This window comes from Homo sapiens, chromosome 1 (genome assembly GCF_000001405.40).
Source record: "Homo sapiens chromosome 1, GRCh38.p14 Primary Assembly".
In the NCBI taxonomy this organism is placed as follows: domain Eukaryota; kingdom Metazoa; phylum Chordata; class Mammalia; order Primates; family Hominidae; genus Homo; species Homo sapiens.
Genome location: NC_000001.11, coordinates 156,991,535 through 157,005,214, shown reverse-complemented (window position 1 = coordinate 157,005,214; position 13,680 = coordinate 156,991,535). Strand labels below are relative to the sequence as shown.

Here is a 13,680-nt window from a genome sequence, read left to right as displayed (position 1 = left end):
ACCAAGCTGAGCAAATCCACTGCCCAAGCAACGGGCAGTAACACAGGAAGGAAGAAGGGAAGTACTATACAAAGTGTGAGTGTGCTGGAGTTTGAAATAATGGGAACATCAGCCCTACATTTCAGAATAGAAGAGCAGCATATTTAGAAACGAAGGCAAGGCCTGGCATTCCTTCCTGTTAGCCAAGATTAGAAGGAGCTGTGAGAGGGGTAGATTTTCTGCAGGACCTCTCTATGATCTTGGGAGTAAGAGTTAGAGTCCTAGATTCCTTTGGCCTTCTGGATGTCATCATTTCCACATCCTGTCTCCAGCCAAGGCTCTCCCTTTCTGGAGAGATTGAAGTTGTTGTTTCCTATTTCACAGGATTCCTTTTATTTTTACGTTTGGGGGGTCTCACCCAGGGAATTCCTTCCTGATGTCATCTTTGTGGGATGTAAAGGAGGGAATGAGGGGAGGGGCCCCAAGAATGTTTCTCTTTCTGTGAAAGTTTTTTTCAGCTCTTACTGCCATTCAACATTACTTGTATCCATGAGATGGCTTCTTTCCTCCCTCACCCCACCCGTCTTCAGTTTCCTGGAAATGGAATGGGGGCTGGAAGAGAGAAAGGATGGAAATTCCCATTGCATCTCTCTCGGCTATGCAGTGGTTCAGATGGGGTTTTGGTGAGGGGGGTTGGGAGAAGTAGAAAGATGGAGTCAGCCCTGGAGGGAGAGGCCAGGAGACTGCTGAGCTGATGGTATGGGCCTAATTACTCCCTGCCTTGAGCTTGCCTGTAATTGTGGTTTCTGAGAGCCAGCACGTCCTGGAAATCTGCTGGTACAGCAGAGATTTGGGGTTTCCGCCTGGGATGGAGTTGAATTTTCCACTTGGAGCAACTTGCCCAGCCCCCATTTTTGGTTGGGGAGCAGAGTGAATCCTTAAAGCTCAAAAGGAGCGATTAGGATAGTGGTAGGAATATAAGGCCTTCCTTTGGAACTGAACGAGAGGTTGTATGCTCTGAAATGCTAGACATTTTTGAAAAGTTCAGAGAGGCGGCAGATAGCAGGACCTGGTAAAGAGTTGTATGGTTAAAGTTAGAATGTCAACTGTGTCCCAAACCTAGGACAAGTGATTTAATCTTTTTAGACATTAGTTTCTCCATCAGTGATTTGATTTGAATATGTGTCTTTTCTAACAAGGATGTCCCTTAAGTCATAGGTAGAGAAACGCTAGATGAATACAAGGGAGCAACTTAAGCCCCCCTTTTCCCATGGTGGTGATAAAAATAATAGCTAACATATTTTAAGCACTTAATGTGTGCCCTGTGCTAAACGCTTTAATGAATTCTACCATTTAATCTCTTAACAATCCCGTGTAATAGTTACTTCTGCTATAGCTAAGGGAACGTGGGGTTAAGAGGTTAAATATGTTACCTGAGGTCATGGCCCCAGTGAGTGTCAGCATCAGGATTCTAAAGCCTGTGCATTTGGCCAGCAGACGTATAAATAGTTGTCTGCACTGCATTTTACTCGCTTGTGTCAGGAAACACTCAGAGCCAGGCTGGCTTAGTGAGGCTGGCTGTTGGATTTGGCATCAGAGAATCTGAGTTCAAGTCCTAGCTCTGGCTCTCACCAACCCTGGGACCTCAGGCAAGTCCTTTATCTTCTCTGAACCTGTTTTCCATTCATGAAACATATTTTCATAGTTGTTCTGAGGGTTAAGTGAGATACTATCTGGCACAACACCTGCTACTCAGCAGATGCTTAGTGTATGTTAGCAGAATCTGAATTTGAATGAGGGGAATTCGAATAAGTGGCATAGTATAGACTCAAGCAGCCCTAGTCCCTGCCCTCCTGAATTTGTGATCTGAGGTTTTAGAACACTGGCATAAGTTAAGGATGTATCTATGGCAAAGTCAAATGGATGGTGAGGACTCTCTCTAGACAGAGTGCAAAGCATTAGCAGAGTAAAGGCTCTGAAGTTAAAATGCTTGGGTTCATATCCCAGCTTCATCTCACTTGCTGGATGCATGAAATCAAGCAAGTGGCTCAGCCTTTCTGTAGCCCATTTTCTTATCTGTAAAATGGCAACATTAATAGTGCCAACTCATGAGGTTGTTGTGAGGATTAAATGTAATACATAAGAATGGCTAATATGAATAATCAACAATCAATCAATAAGGAATTCTTACTGAGTGCCAGGCCCTGGCCTGAGCATTTTTTGCATGTTTTAAATAATTTAGTCCTAACACTCTCATGAAATAGAATCCTAACATTCTTATGAATTCTCTCTATTATTATCCCCATTTTATGGATGAGTAGTCTGAGGCAAGAGATTAAGTAACTTGCCTAAAGTCACACAGCTAATAAATGTCAGGGCCAGCATTTACATCTGGGAGGGGAACTCAGGAGCCTACATTCTTGTCTCAGTAAGTGCTTTAAGAATTTGCTAGCTCTTATTATTATTATCATCATGAGTTCCCATTTATCAATCAGTCACAAGAATTTACTAAGAGTATATGCTTAGCACTGTGTTAGTTATTGCAGGCTTTATCAACAAAATATATGTGACAGGATTTCTGCTTGTGAGGAGTTTATCATCTAGTTGGAGTGAGATATGAACAATATGGATGAAATGATTTGATAACAAGTGCCAAATAGCATAGTATGGACTCAAAATGCAGTAGAAATGGACTTAGTTACTGAAAGGATCATTGGGTAAGTTGGACTAGTTAGGAAAGTTTACTAGAGACAGTACTACTTGAATTCAGCCTTAGAAAAGTGGGCTGAAGGGCAAGGTTGGGCTGTTTGGAGCACTAGAGTTTGGGAGGATTTAGAATTTCAAGGTTGGTCATTCAGCATTCAACAAATTTCTGTTGAGTGTATCTTATGTGCCTCACTCGATGGAGAATGAGATCCAAACTGATTGCTCAGTCGCTGTTGTTTCTCTCCTGGCCAATCCAGGTTCATTTCCTGGAGATTGTGTTTTGTGGACTAGCAGTTTCCCAGTTGAAATGCTAGTATTGCCCTGTTCGAGGTGGTCCATTATTGATGTAATAAAGCCTCATTATCATGTGATTTGTGCCTGGATAGAATCATTATATGTGTCTAGGTCCTGGAAAGGAACTGCAGGGACCACATGGTTCATTCATCTCTTCCTCTCTCCCATCATTTCACCGCCCCGCTTCCCAATCCCATACATGCACATGCAACCACACTTTTTGCTTAGGAGAAATATAAGGCCTAGAACTAAGACCATAATCCAAATATTCAAACCTTTAGGATACTTTATTTAAACTGTGCTGCGTGAATTGTGAGTCAAATTAAGTGCTGTAGGACAAATGCCTACCATTTTTGTAAACCTACAGAGGGAATTATAAGCCCATATCCCAGTGCCAATAATTTTTGTCTTCCTAACACCCGTTTCACTGTTGTGCAAGCCCCTCAGTATCAAAGATGTAATTCAGTAGAAAGAGTGTAAGAGACAGCAACACTTGCTGGAAGTGGTAGGAGCCACTGCTCTAAAAACCACTTTTCCTCCCACAGAATGGTCTGGGATCTCCCCCAGTGGAGAGGGCACCCTCCATTTGTGTGATCTAGATCTGCAAAGTGCCTGCATAGCCAGAGCCAATGGGCATTCTTTTGGTTTGTGGCCTGCCTATTGCACCTCCTATCAGGCAGCTACATGTTGAGTTTGTTGCTTGGGGTTGTCTTTGTCATAAACACAGTGGCTAATGTTCTAGTGGTCCAAGGCCCATTAGTCAATGTGAGGGAATGGAGTAAACAACAGAGAGATCCAGAGTGGATCCTGGGTGATGAAACTGTGGCGAGAGCTGCAGGGATCTGGCTACTGGAAAACTTGACTCTGATTTTCTCTTGGCTGGCCTTCTGTCAGCATCCTAGCCAACTATGTATATCAAGTATACTTTGTAGAGCTCAGTCTATGGGTTGAGAGACCCATTTTAGGTTGTTGGAGACTTGGTGCTAAAGAAACAAAAAAATAGAAGATGTAAGTCTCTCCTTCAGAACAGGTATTTTATTAAACAGATCACACGGTAGAATACGTGAGTTTCTTTTAAAAGCAGTACACAGGCAGGGATCTGTGATGATAGCATAAGTCAGATGCTTAAGGGCCAGGAGATGTAAAGAATAGAAGTGTCATCATTCGAGAGTTCATTGAGGAAGGCTTCCTCAAGGAGGGGAGCTTCCGCACAGGTTTTCGAAGGGTAGAACAGGAATTTCCAGGGGGACCTGGAATAACCTCCCCTGTCTGCACGCCCTTCTTTCTTCTACTTCTGGCAGGGCTTCCTGAAGTCACCAGCCAGGAATGTGGAGGGTATGGACTCAGCCTGTGAAGCTCTGGCCCGCCTCCCACTTCTGCCCCCCATTACAGCTGGGAGCTTAGGTTGCCATGACTCAGTTTGCATCTACCTGCAGTTACCTCAGCTGAAGAACAGGTTGCCTACAGCCTGCCCAAGGAAGGGGATTGCAAAGACAAGCAGACCTCATACCATCAACTCCCATTACTTCCACAAGTTACCCATTTGATGGTTTAACCTCAGTGGTTTTAAAGTAGAACACTAACTTTCCTCTGCCACCCAGTACTTTCCTATCGATGTTGGTATGAACTCAGGGAAAGGGAGCTAATTTAAAATCCACCTTAAGAAAGTAAATTAGAAAGGTGAATCTTCTGGGCCAAATGACACACTTTTAAAAAGCAAAATGAAGACTTCTTGGATTGGCCATTATCCTGGGTACCTGTTTCATGGTTGGTCCTTTATTTGTGCCAATAATCAAAAGTCGACTCAAGTAACAACTCCGTTTATACAAGGTATAAAGTATGCCTTCTTTGAAGAAAATCCAGTCTTTTGAGAATTTATATTTAAGGTATTATCACTTTCATGATGATTTACTTCAGAACATATTTACTTATCTTTTCAGGAAAACATTAGGTAAAACAAGATATGCCTGTAGGGCCGGGCACGGTGGATCATACCTATAATCCAAGCACTTTGGGAGGCCGAGGCAGGTGGCTCACTTGAGGTCAGGAGTTTGAGACCAGCCTGGCCCACATGGCAAAACGCCATCTTTACTAAAACTACAAAAATTAGCCTGGCATGTTGACACACGCTCTAATTCCAGCTGCTCAGGAGACTGAGGTACAAGAATCACTTGAACCTGGGAGGCGAAGGTTGCAGTGAGCTGAGATCGCACCACTGCACTCCAGCCTGTGTGATAGAGTGTGACTGTCTCAAAAAAATTTTAAAAAGATACTCTTGTAGAGTGGTTTTAGGATGACAAGTAATTTAATTATCACAGTGCCCTGCAAAAAGTACAAGGCTTGGTCTTCCCATCTTACTGTTAAGAAAGCTGAGACTGAGAAGTGGTGTGGCTTGCCCAGTGCCACACAGTGGCTACGATGTGGTGAGGAGGAAACCTCATTCCACAGATGGAGGCCTTTCCCTTCGGCCCTGGCAAGTCCCTGTGACAGATGCTTGTTCTTTATCTTGTAGGTTCTAGGTTCTGCTCATCTCCTTTGCCCTTTGTTGAAAACCAGGAAACTCAAATGAAAATATACTTTTTCATCTTGTGGATATCACCAATGCAGACACAGAATTGCTTCTAGATCATGGTTGGTGATGGTGTCTGTTGTTTCTTTTCCAGTTGAAATGAATTTGGCTGTGGCCTGCCCTCCCTTTATTCTTTAGAGAGAATCTTTCCTTTCCAGGCTAGGGATGTAGTTCTGCCTGGGTGCAAGACCTGATACGCTGAAGAAGAATTATAAGGGACAAAGAATCAAGCAGAATTAAGAAAGGACGTGAGATGACCTAGCTCAGCTCCCTCGTCGTGGGGATGATAGGGCCAAGGCACAGGGAGAGGAAGCTGGGACTTTGGTATCAGACACACTTGAACTTGTGTCCTGGCTCTACTATTTAATAGCTGTATGGCCTGGGGCGACTTATGTAACTTAGCTGAACCTCATTTTCCTTATCCGTAAAGGAAAATAACACTGTTATCTCACCAGGTTGTCAGGATTAAATGAATGCCTGTAACACATGTTTATTATATGTAATTTTCTTCTCCCTTTTCAAGGATATATAAAAAGATAAGGGCAGAGTGGGTCTAGAACCCAGATGTCTAGGCTGCCAGCTGTCAGTCCTGTCCTCTTGTCAGAAGGGCCCGCCCCCTCCCTCCTGCTGGGGCAGCCTCCATGATTTCCCTTCCTGTGGCTTTGCTCTCCACCCCTGACTTCTACTCCTAATAATCAGATCTTGGATCTTCCTGAAAGTTGCTTTATGTTGTCTGGAGTTGCACAGCTAGTAAATGGCAGAATTAGCACCAATATCTAGGTCTCCTGGCTTCCTCTTGATGTCTTGAGATGCTATTCTTTTCATTGAACATAAGTTTGATGGAGGACTCCGTGACAAAAGCAAATAAATATAGGCTAAACATAATATTCGGCAGTAGATCATCTAGGAGATCTTAGGAGATCTGTAAAATGGTTGCATCTATATTAGATAACTCAAGACTTGATTTTGTGTTTCAAGGCAGGATGTGCTTGCTTTGGCAGTAGCTTACTAATTGTGTCTGACTTAGGGCTTCAGCAAAGAATAGCACCCATTTTTAAAGTACTGCAGAGTGCCAGCCATTGTACTAGATACTGTACTTACATTACACCAATTCTTAAAACAGCCTGATAGGATAGGTGGCTAGTATTCCCATTTTGTAGATGAGAAAACTGAGGTTCGCAGAAAATAGTTTGCTCTCAGTCCCATAGATGGCCAGAGGCAGAGCCAGGCCTGTTCTAACTCCACACTTCACCACACTGCTCCTCAATATCAATGTAAATTCCTGGGCATAGCTTCGGCATTGAGCTTTTTCTGAGAAATATGTGACAAATTGGATAAGTCCGATGTGAGCTTGTGCCAATACCTATGCTGATAGAGCCTGCAAGGCTGATGGGGTGTTGGGTTCTGAGTGGAGAAAAGGGTGCACAGCCTAGGGCAGTGCTGGATTGTTCTACTAAGGGGTGAAGATGGTGCCCTCAGAGCCGGGCTCTGCTTCGTTTCTGGGAGACAGTTGTGCCTCTTTACTCTAGGACTCACAGTCCAGCGAACAAGGAGAGAGGTCGACAATGTGGAAGGTGCTTTTGCAGAAATATATACCAGGTGCTGTGGGAGACAGAAGTTCCTGGAGGGTTGACTGGGCAGGCTTCTAGTTTTCTCTGACTGTTCTGAAGGGCAAGGAGGTCTCACCACTGGAGAGAAGGTGGAAGTGTGGTGCAGCTGTGGCCAAAGGAGGCCAGACCAGTGCTGTCCAATAGAAAGATAGTGCAAACCACATGTAATTTAACATTTTCTAGTAGCCATAGTAAAAAAAAAAATAATACAGGTGAAATTATTTTTAATGATATATTTCATTTAACCCAATATATTCAAAATACTCTAATATAAAAAGTTATTGAGATATTTTACATTCTTTTTTTTTTCACTAAAACTTTAAATCTGATGTGCATTTTATACAGTGTATTTCAATTTGAGCCAGCCACATTTCTGGTGCTCTTAGCCACATGTGACCTGGGGTTCCTGTTAAGACAGTGCAGGGCTAGAGGGTACTCCCAGTGTCAGCTCCTAGTAACCCACTCTCAGCAGTCTGTCCCTCACCTGTGCTTTCTAGTGCATTCCACGCATCGCTGTCTTTCAGGTGCACATCTGCTCTGCCGCAGCTGGTGTCTGGGCCTCCAGCCTTTCCTCCTCCAGGCCACTCTAGTCACTGCAGTCAGACTTATCTTTTTAAAGGCTAAACCTGATCCTATTACTTCTTCGAGAAAGCCTTCAACAGCTCCCCCATCTGTAAATAATCAAATCTATAATCCTTAGATACCGTTTAAGGCCCTCCATAACCTGTCTTTTTCCCTCCATCATACTCCCTAGCAATGATATGTTACTTTAGTATTTGCAGAACCTTTTGACATACTTTATCCCACTTAATTCTCACAGCAGCTGTGTGAGATAGGTAGGGCAGGGCAGGTGAATTATAAGGCTCAGAGAGTTTAAGAGAGGTTCCTGGCTGGGCATGGTGTCTCACACTTGTAATCCCAGCACTTTGAGAGGCTGAGGCGGGAGGATTGCTTGAGCCTAGGAGTTCAAGACCAGCCTTGGCAACAAAGGGAGACCCCATCTCTACAAAAAAAAAAATTTTTTTTAACTAGCCAGATATAGTGGTGCAGACCTGTAATCCCAGCTACTTGAGAGGCTGAGGCGGAAGGATCAGATAAGACCAGGAACTGGAGGTTTCAGTGAACTATTATCATACCACTGCACTCCAGCCTGAGTGACAGAGCAAGACTTTGTCTCAAAAAAAAAAAAAAAAAAAATAGAGAGAGAGGTTCCTAAGCTCAGCCAGCTAGTAAGTGGCAGAATCAGGATGGAGACCCTTGTCTTTTTTTTTTTTTTTTTTTTTTGAGACAGAGTCTCGCTCTGTCGCCCAGGATGGAGTGCAGTGGCGTGATCTCGGCTCACTGCAAGCTCCGCCCCCCGGGTTCACGCCATTCTCCTGCCTCAGCCTCCCGAGTAGCTGGGACTACAGGCGCCCGCTACCACGCCCGGCTAATTTTTTGTATTTTTAGTAGAGACGGGGTTTCACCGTGTTAGCCAGGATGGTCTCAATCTCCTGACCTCGTGATCCGCCCGCCTCTTTTTAATTTTATCTCTTGTTACACTCCTTGTTGTGAGATCCATCCCCTTTTCTCCCATATTGCATTGACAGCCTCCCCAGAGTCCCTGTGTCCTCCCTCTGCCTTCTGCTGCTTCCTCCCCTAGAATGTCCTTCCACAGCATAGCTACCTGTCAGAATTCTCCCCTTCCTCCAAGGCTCTGGTTAAAGTCCACCTCCTCTCTGATTTCTTCTTTGTCCATCCCCTCCCCAAATCTAGTTTGTAACTACCAACACACTTTAACATGCAGTTTCTTATTTAGTTGATGCTTCACTGTCTTATTTGCAGAATTCAGTTGTAGCAATCTGGGGCATTGAAGAATTTAGGAGCTTAAATAGTTCTTACAGGGTCACCAGTGGTACTCTCCGCCTAAGTCCATAGAGAGGCTAACACCCTTCTAGTTTATTAGTCTTTGTTAAACCTATGAAATTATGAATTTAATCCTAATTTATATGCATTGTGGAGGTCACTCAAAAATGTTTCTCTCAACAGCTGTGATAAGTATAGGCTTATTTTGATGTCTAAAGATCTGTTACCTGTATCTGATTTCATCTTCCAACACATATTTATTGAATATCTACTATGTCCTGTGTTCTGGACAAGTATGCATGAGAACAACATACACGAAGTTTATCATTAAATGGGAAAAGAGCAGACATTTTAAAAAGCACCCAAACCGGCCGGGCACAGTGGCACATGCCTGTAATCCCAGCACGTTGGGAGGCTGAGGCTGAGGATCCCTTGTGCCCAGGAGTTTGAGACCAGCCTGGGCAAGATAGTCAGAGCTCATCTCTATTTAAAAAAAAAAAAAAAAAACAAGCTGGGCAGCTACTCAGGGAGCTTAGGTGGGAGGATTGCTTGAGCTCGAACCCAGGAAGTCGAGGCTGCAGTGAGCCGTGATTGCATCACTGCACTCCAGCCTGGGCAACAGAGTGAGACCCTGTCTCAAAAAAAAAAAAAAGAAGAAGAAAAGGCACCCAAACAATAGTGTAGTTACTATTGAGTTAGGCACATTACAAAGGTAAATTTCAGGGAAACTCAACACATTAAGTGTCAGAGAAGGCCTCTCTGAGAAAGGGACACTTAAGCTGAACGCTGAGGAATGAGTGTGGGTTCCCCAGGCCAAGGTGGGGAGAGAAAGCCCCTGAGGTTGAAATACAGTGAGTGAGAGGGAGGGTGACCAGATACACAGCTTGAGAATAGGCATGAGCCCTCACCCAAGGACCTGCTAGCCATGTGCAGGATTTGGAACTTCATGCAAGGACAGTGGGAAACCACGGAAGGGTGTATATCCTCTAATTTCTCTCTTTAAAAGATCACTCTGTGTGTAAGAATGGGTAGGGGCTAGAGTAGACATGGGGAGGCCAGTTCTTCTAGGTGAGAGATGATGGTCTCTTAAATGAGCGTGGTGGCAGAGAGGGGGAGAAGAGAAGTAGGTGGATTTCAGAAATGTTAGGAGGTCATATCAGTAGGACTTGTCAATTGATTGGATTTGCAGAGAGATGTCAAAGATAATCTCAGATTTCTGGCGTGAGCAAGTGCACGGCAGTGTTTTACTGAGGAGGAAACATTTGATCAGGAGCAGGGCTGGGGAGATTGATTGCAGTTTGACTGTTGTAGCTTTGAGGTGTCAGTGAAGGTGATTTGGTCCTCGCAATTACCCTTTGAGAAAGGTAGTATTACCTACATTTGTTATTGGGAAACTAAGGTTTGAAGAGGTTGGATGACTTGCCTAAGACTACATAGCCAAGAAAGGGCTGAGCCTGAGCTTGTGCCAGTATTTTGACTCCTAAAGCTGTGCTTTTAAAACCATACCACATGTCCTGTGTGCTGAATATTCGATGTGGAACCAAGCTAACCAACCTTCTCAACACACGAGTTCTCTGCCTCCCTTCTCCACACACACCTGTCTGCCAAGTTGTCTGCTCTGATAGTCAAACAAATCCTAAAATCTCTTTTTGTCTAAGACCTTCATGAAAGTAGAAAGGTGAGGTTTACTGGCCCTGCCCTACCTAGAATTTGAACACCCTGGGGGTATTTTTCACTCACTCTTTCTAGTTCTGTTCCCCTCACACCTGACATTTTTCAAGCATAGCTCACCTACTGTACACCTGAAAAAAAAAAAAAACACACAATAAAACCATTTGCAGAGGGCTTTACACTTTCAAAGCACTTAATAAATATTATCTTTTTTGCCCTCACATCAGCCCTGGAAGAAAGAAAGGACGTATATGGGTCCTTCAGCTAACATTTTTGGAGCGACCCTCACTATGCACCAGGCACTGTGCTGGAACTCAGCTGGTGATACAAGGATGAATAAGACATGGTCCCTGTTCTCAGGGGCTTAAAGTCTAAAAGAGATGACAGACTAACAGATGATATCAATATGTGTTCATTTTGCAGATAAGAAAGATGATAGACTGATGATAGACTCATAAATTAAGGGACTTGTTTCAAGAGTTTCTCCAAGTTACGGTCCTCTGAATAAGGAATGGCTTGGGCTGCTTGTTGAAATAGATTCCACACCACAGACCTGCTGAATTGGATCCCTAAGGGTGGGGCCTCAAGTGATTCGTATGCTGCTGGATAGCTAGAAAGTGATCCAACTGAGGAGTGAACCTTCTCTGGTGCACTGCCAGAGACCATTTGTCTATTCTCTAGTTTAAGAGATGAGGGAACTGATGCTTATAGATCAGCAGCGGTTGTCTGCAAACAGCCGTCTTTCCTCATAGCCCTTACTGTAGGGATGTGCAGGTCTAGGACGGTGTGTTTGCCAGCCTCAGACCAGAGGGAAAATTCTACCCGGAGGCAGAATCCATAGAAAGTTAGGGTGCCAGGAGCCTGCTGAAAACTCCACCCTGGGAGATAAGGGAAACCAACCAGTAAGACCAGGTCAGAGTTCAGTAAGTATGGACTTTATCTGGAGCTAAGGTCCTGGTAGGGTGTCTCTTGTCTCTTTCCTGGTTTACTGCTCTTGTCTTTAGGGAAGGGCCCAGGAATATTACTTTGCCCCAGACTCAGGAAAACCTAGCTCAGCCTGTGTATAGTGTGCTTTTTTTATCTTTCTCTATCCATCTATTTTATGTATGTGTATTATGTATTTATATACATATATAGCATATGTGTATTATATATATCTTTAATCATGTCATATATGTATATATTATATGTGTGTGGGCACATGTGATGTATATATGTGTATATGTCTGGAATGTGTGTGTATGTATGTAAAAGAGAAAATAAAGACCAAACAAATCTACATGTGGCATATACAGGTCATATAATTTTTTATTTAGGAGCACAGACCTTGAAGTCACACCAACTCTATGCACATCTTAACTTCATTTATTTAACCTCTCTGTTCACACACTGGAAAATGGGGATGTACTACCTGTTTCACCAGACTTTTGTGAGTATTGAATTAGATAAGGTTATATCAAGTGCTTAGCACAGCACGTGGTAAGTAGTAAGAACTTTATCATTATTACCACAGAACGTGGATGTTCTAGGCCTTGTCCTCATTTACACATTTGTGATGGGGTAGGCGTAAGGGTGAGTAGACCAGGAACCTCCCATTGACAGATGGAAAGGACGTGATGTTATTTGCTTCTCTTTGTTTCTTTAAACTCCAGAAGCCAGTCCTGTTTGGCCACCTTAAGTTCGAACTCGTATACTTTGTAGGGGTCTGAGTGAAGCAGTGGGCAGTGTAAGCTGTGGGCAGTGGTGACTGGGAAAGGTAAGACATGCCCATCTGGAGAGGGCTGCCACCACTCATTTTCAGCTGATTGTCTCTATGTGAGACCGTAAGCTCGAGGATGCCAGAACTTCTGACTGACCTTTCAAGAGAAGTCAGAAATCTGTATTTTATTGCTTAGCAACTAACTTTTAAAATATATATATATATACACACACACACATATATATACACATTCACACACAGACACACCGCAGACCAACAAAAAGGATATGTGGGCTCTCTGGAAGGTCACCAAGCATCTCCTTGCTTTGTCGCCCACCCTGTGGGCTGGGGTGAGGAGCATGTGGATGCATAGTTAGAAGGCACCTGCTCTGTGCCTTGTGCTGCACTCAGGCATACCGGGAAGTCCACACTGCAACCTCTGCCCTCCAGCAAATAGGCAGGACTGACGCACCAGGCCACAGGGAGCCTTGGAGGAGGGGAGAATGTGTGCGCCAATGCGGGCTGCATTGTAAAGAAGAGGAAGAGTTCTGCGAGTTACTCTACAGATATTGTAAGTGAAAAAAGCAAAGTGCAAAAAGGGGATGATACTACCTGTTGTGTAAGGAAGAAAGGAAAATAAGAATATGTATAGGTATTTATTTAGTTTTACAAGAAGAAACACAGCAAGGAAACCAAAAACAAATGAAAATGATTACTTGGGGAATGGGGAGAAAGAATAGGTACACTTCTGAATATACTTTTAAAATTTCATTTTGATTTTTCAACCATGTAAATGTTTGATATATTCAAAAAATGAAATAAGCTTGGCCGGGCGCGGTGGCTCACGCCTGTAATCCCAGCACTTTGGGAGGCCGAGGCGGGCGGATCACGAGGTCAGGAGATCGAGACCATCCCGGCTAAAACGGTGAAACCCCGTCTCTACTAAAAATACAAAAAATTAGCCGGGCGTAGTGGCGGGCGCCTGTAGTCCCAGCTACTTGGGAGGCTGAGGCAGGAGAATGGCGTGAACCCGGGAGGCGGAGCTTGCAGTGAGCCGAGATCCCGCCACTGCACTCCAGCCTGGGCGACAGAGCGAGACTCCGTCTCAAAAAAAAAAAAAAAAAAAAAAAATAAGCTTGAAAAAAAGAAAACCCTAAAATTCAGTACAAATATAAAAAGAAACATAAATATATCTCAAATTGATAACATAAAAACAGATTAAGACCAAGGACAGTGGCTCACGCCTGTAATCCCAGTGCTTTGGGAGGCCGAGGCAGGTGGATCACTTGAGCCCAGGAGTTCTAGAC

At 43.8% G+C, this 13,680-nt stretch overlaps 1 protein-coding gene across 24 annotated transcripts in view, besides 1 other annotated feature; it reads left to right on the top strand.

Moving 5' to 3' along the window:
* Positions 1–13,680, top strand: part of ARHGEF11 (Rho guanine nucleotide exchange factor 11) — a 112,064-nt gene that overhangs the window by 41,689 nt on the left and 56,695 nt on the right. The window lies entirely within an intron of this gene.
* Positions 12,834–13,334: an enhancer, noted in NCBI's record as "H3K4me1 hESC enhancer chr1:156961673-156962173 (GRCh37/hg19 assembly coordinates)". NCBI's record gives its function as "activates a minimal SCP1, AML or CMV promoter by ChIP-STARR-seq in primed H9 embryonic stem cells {active_cell/tissue: H9 hESC(primed)}" and the evidence as "EXISTENCE:reporter gene assay evidence [ECO:0000049][PMID:30033119]".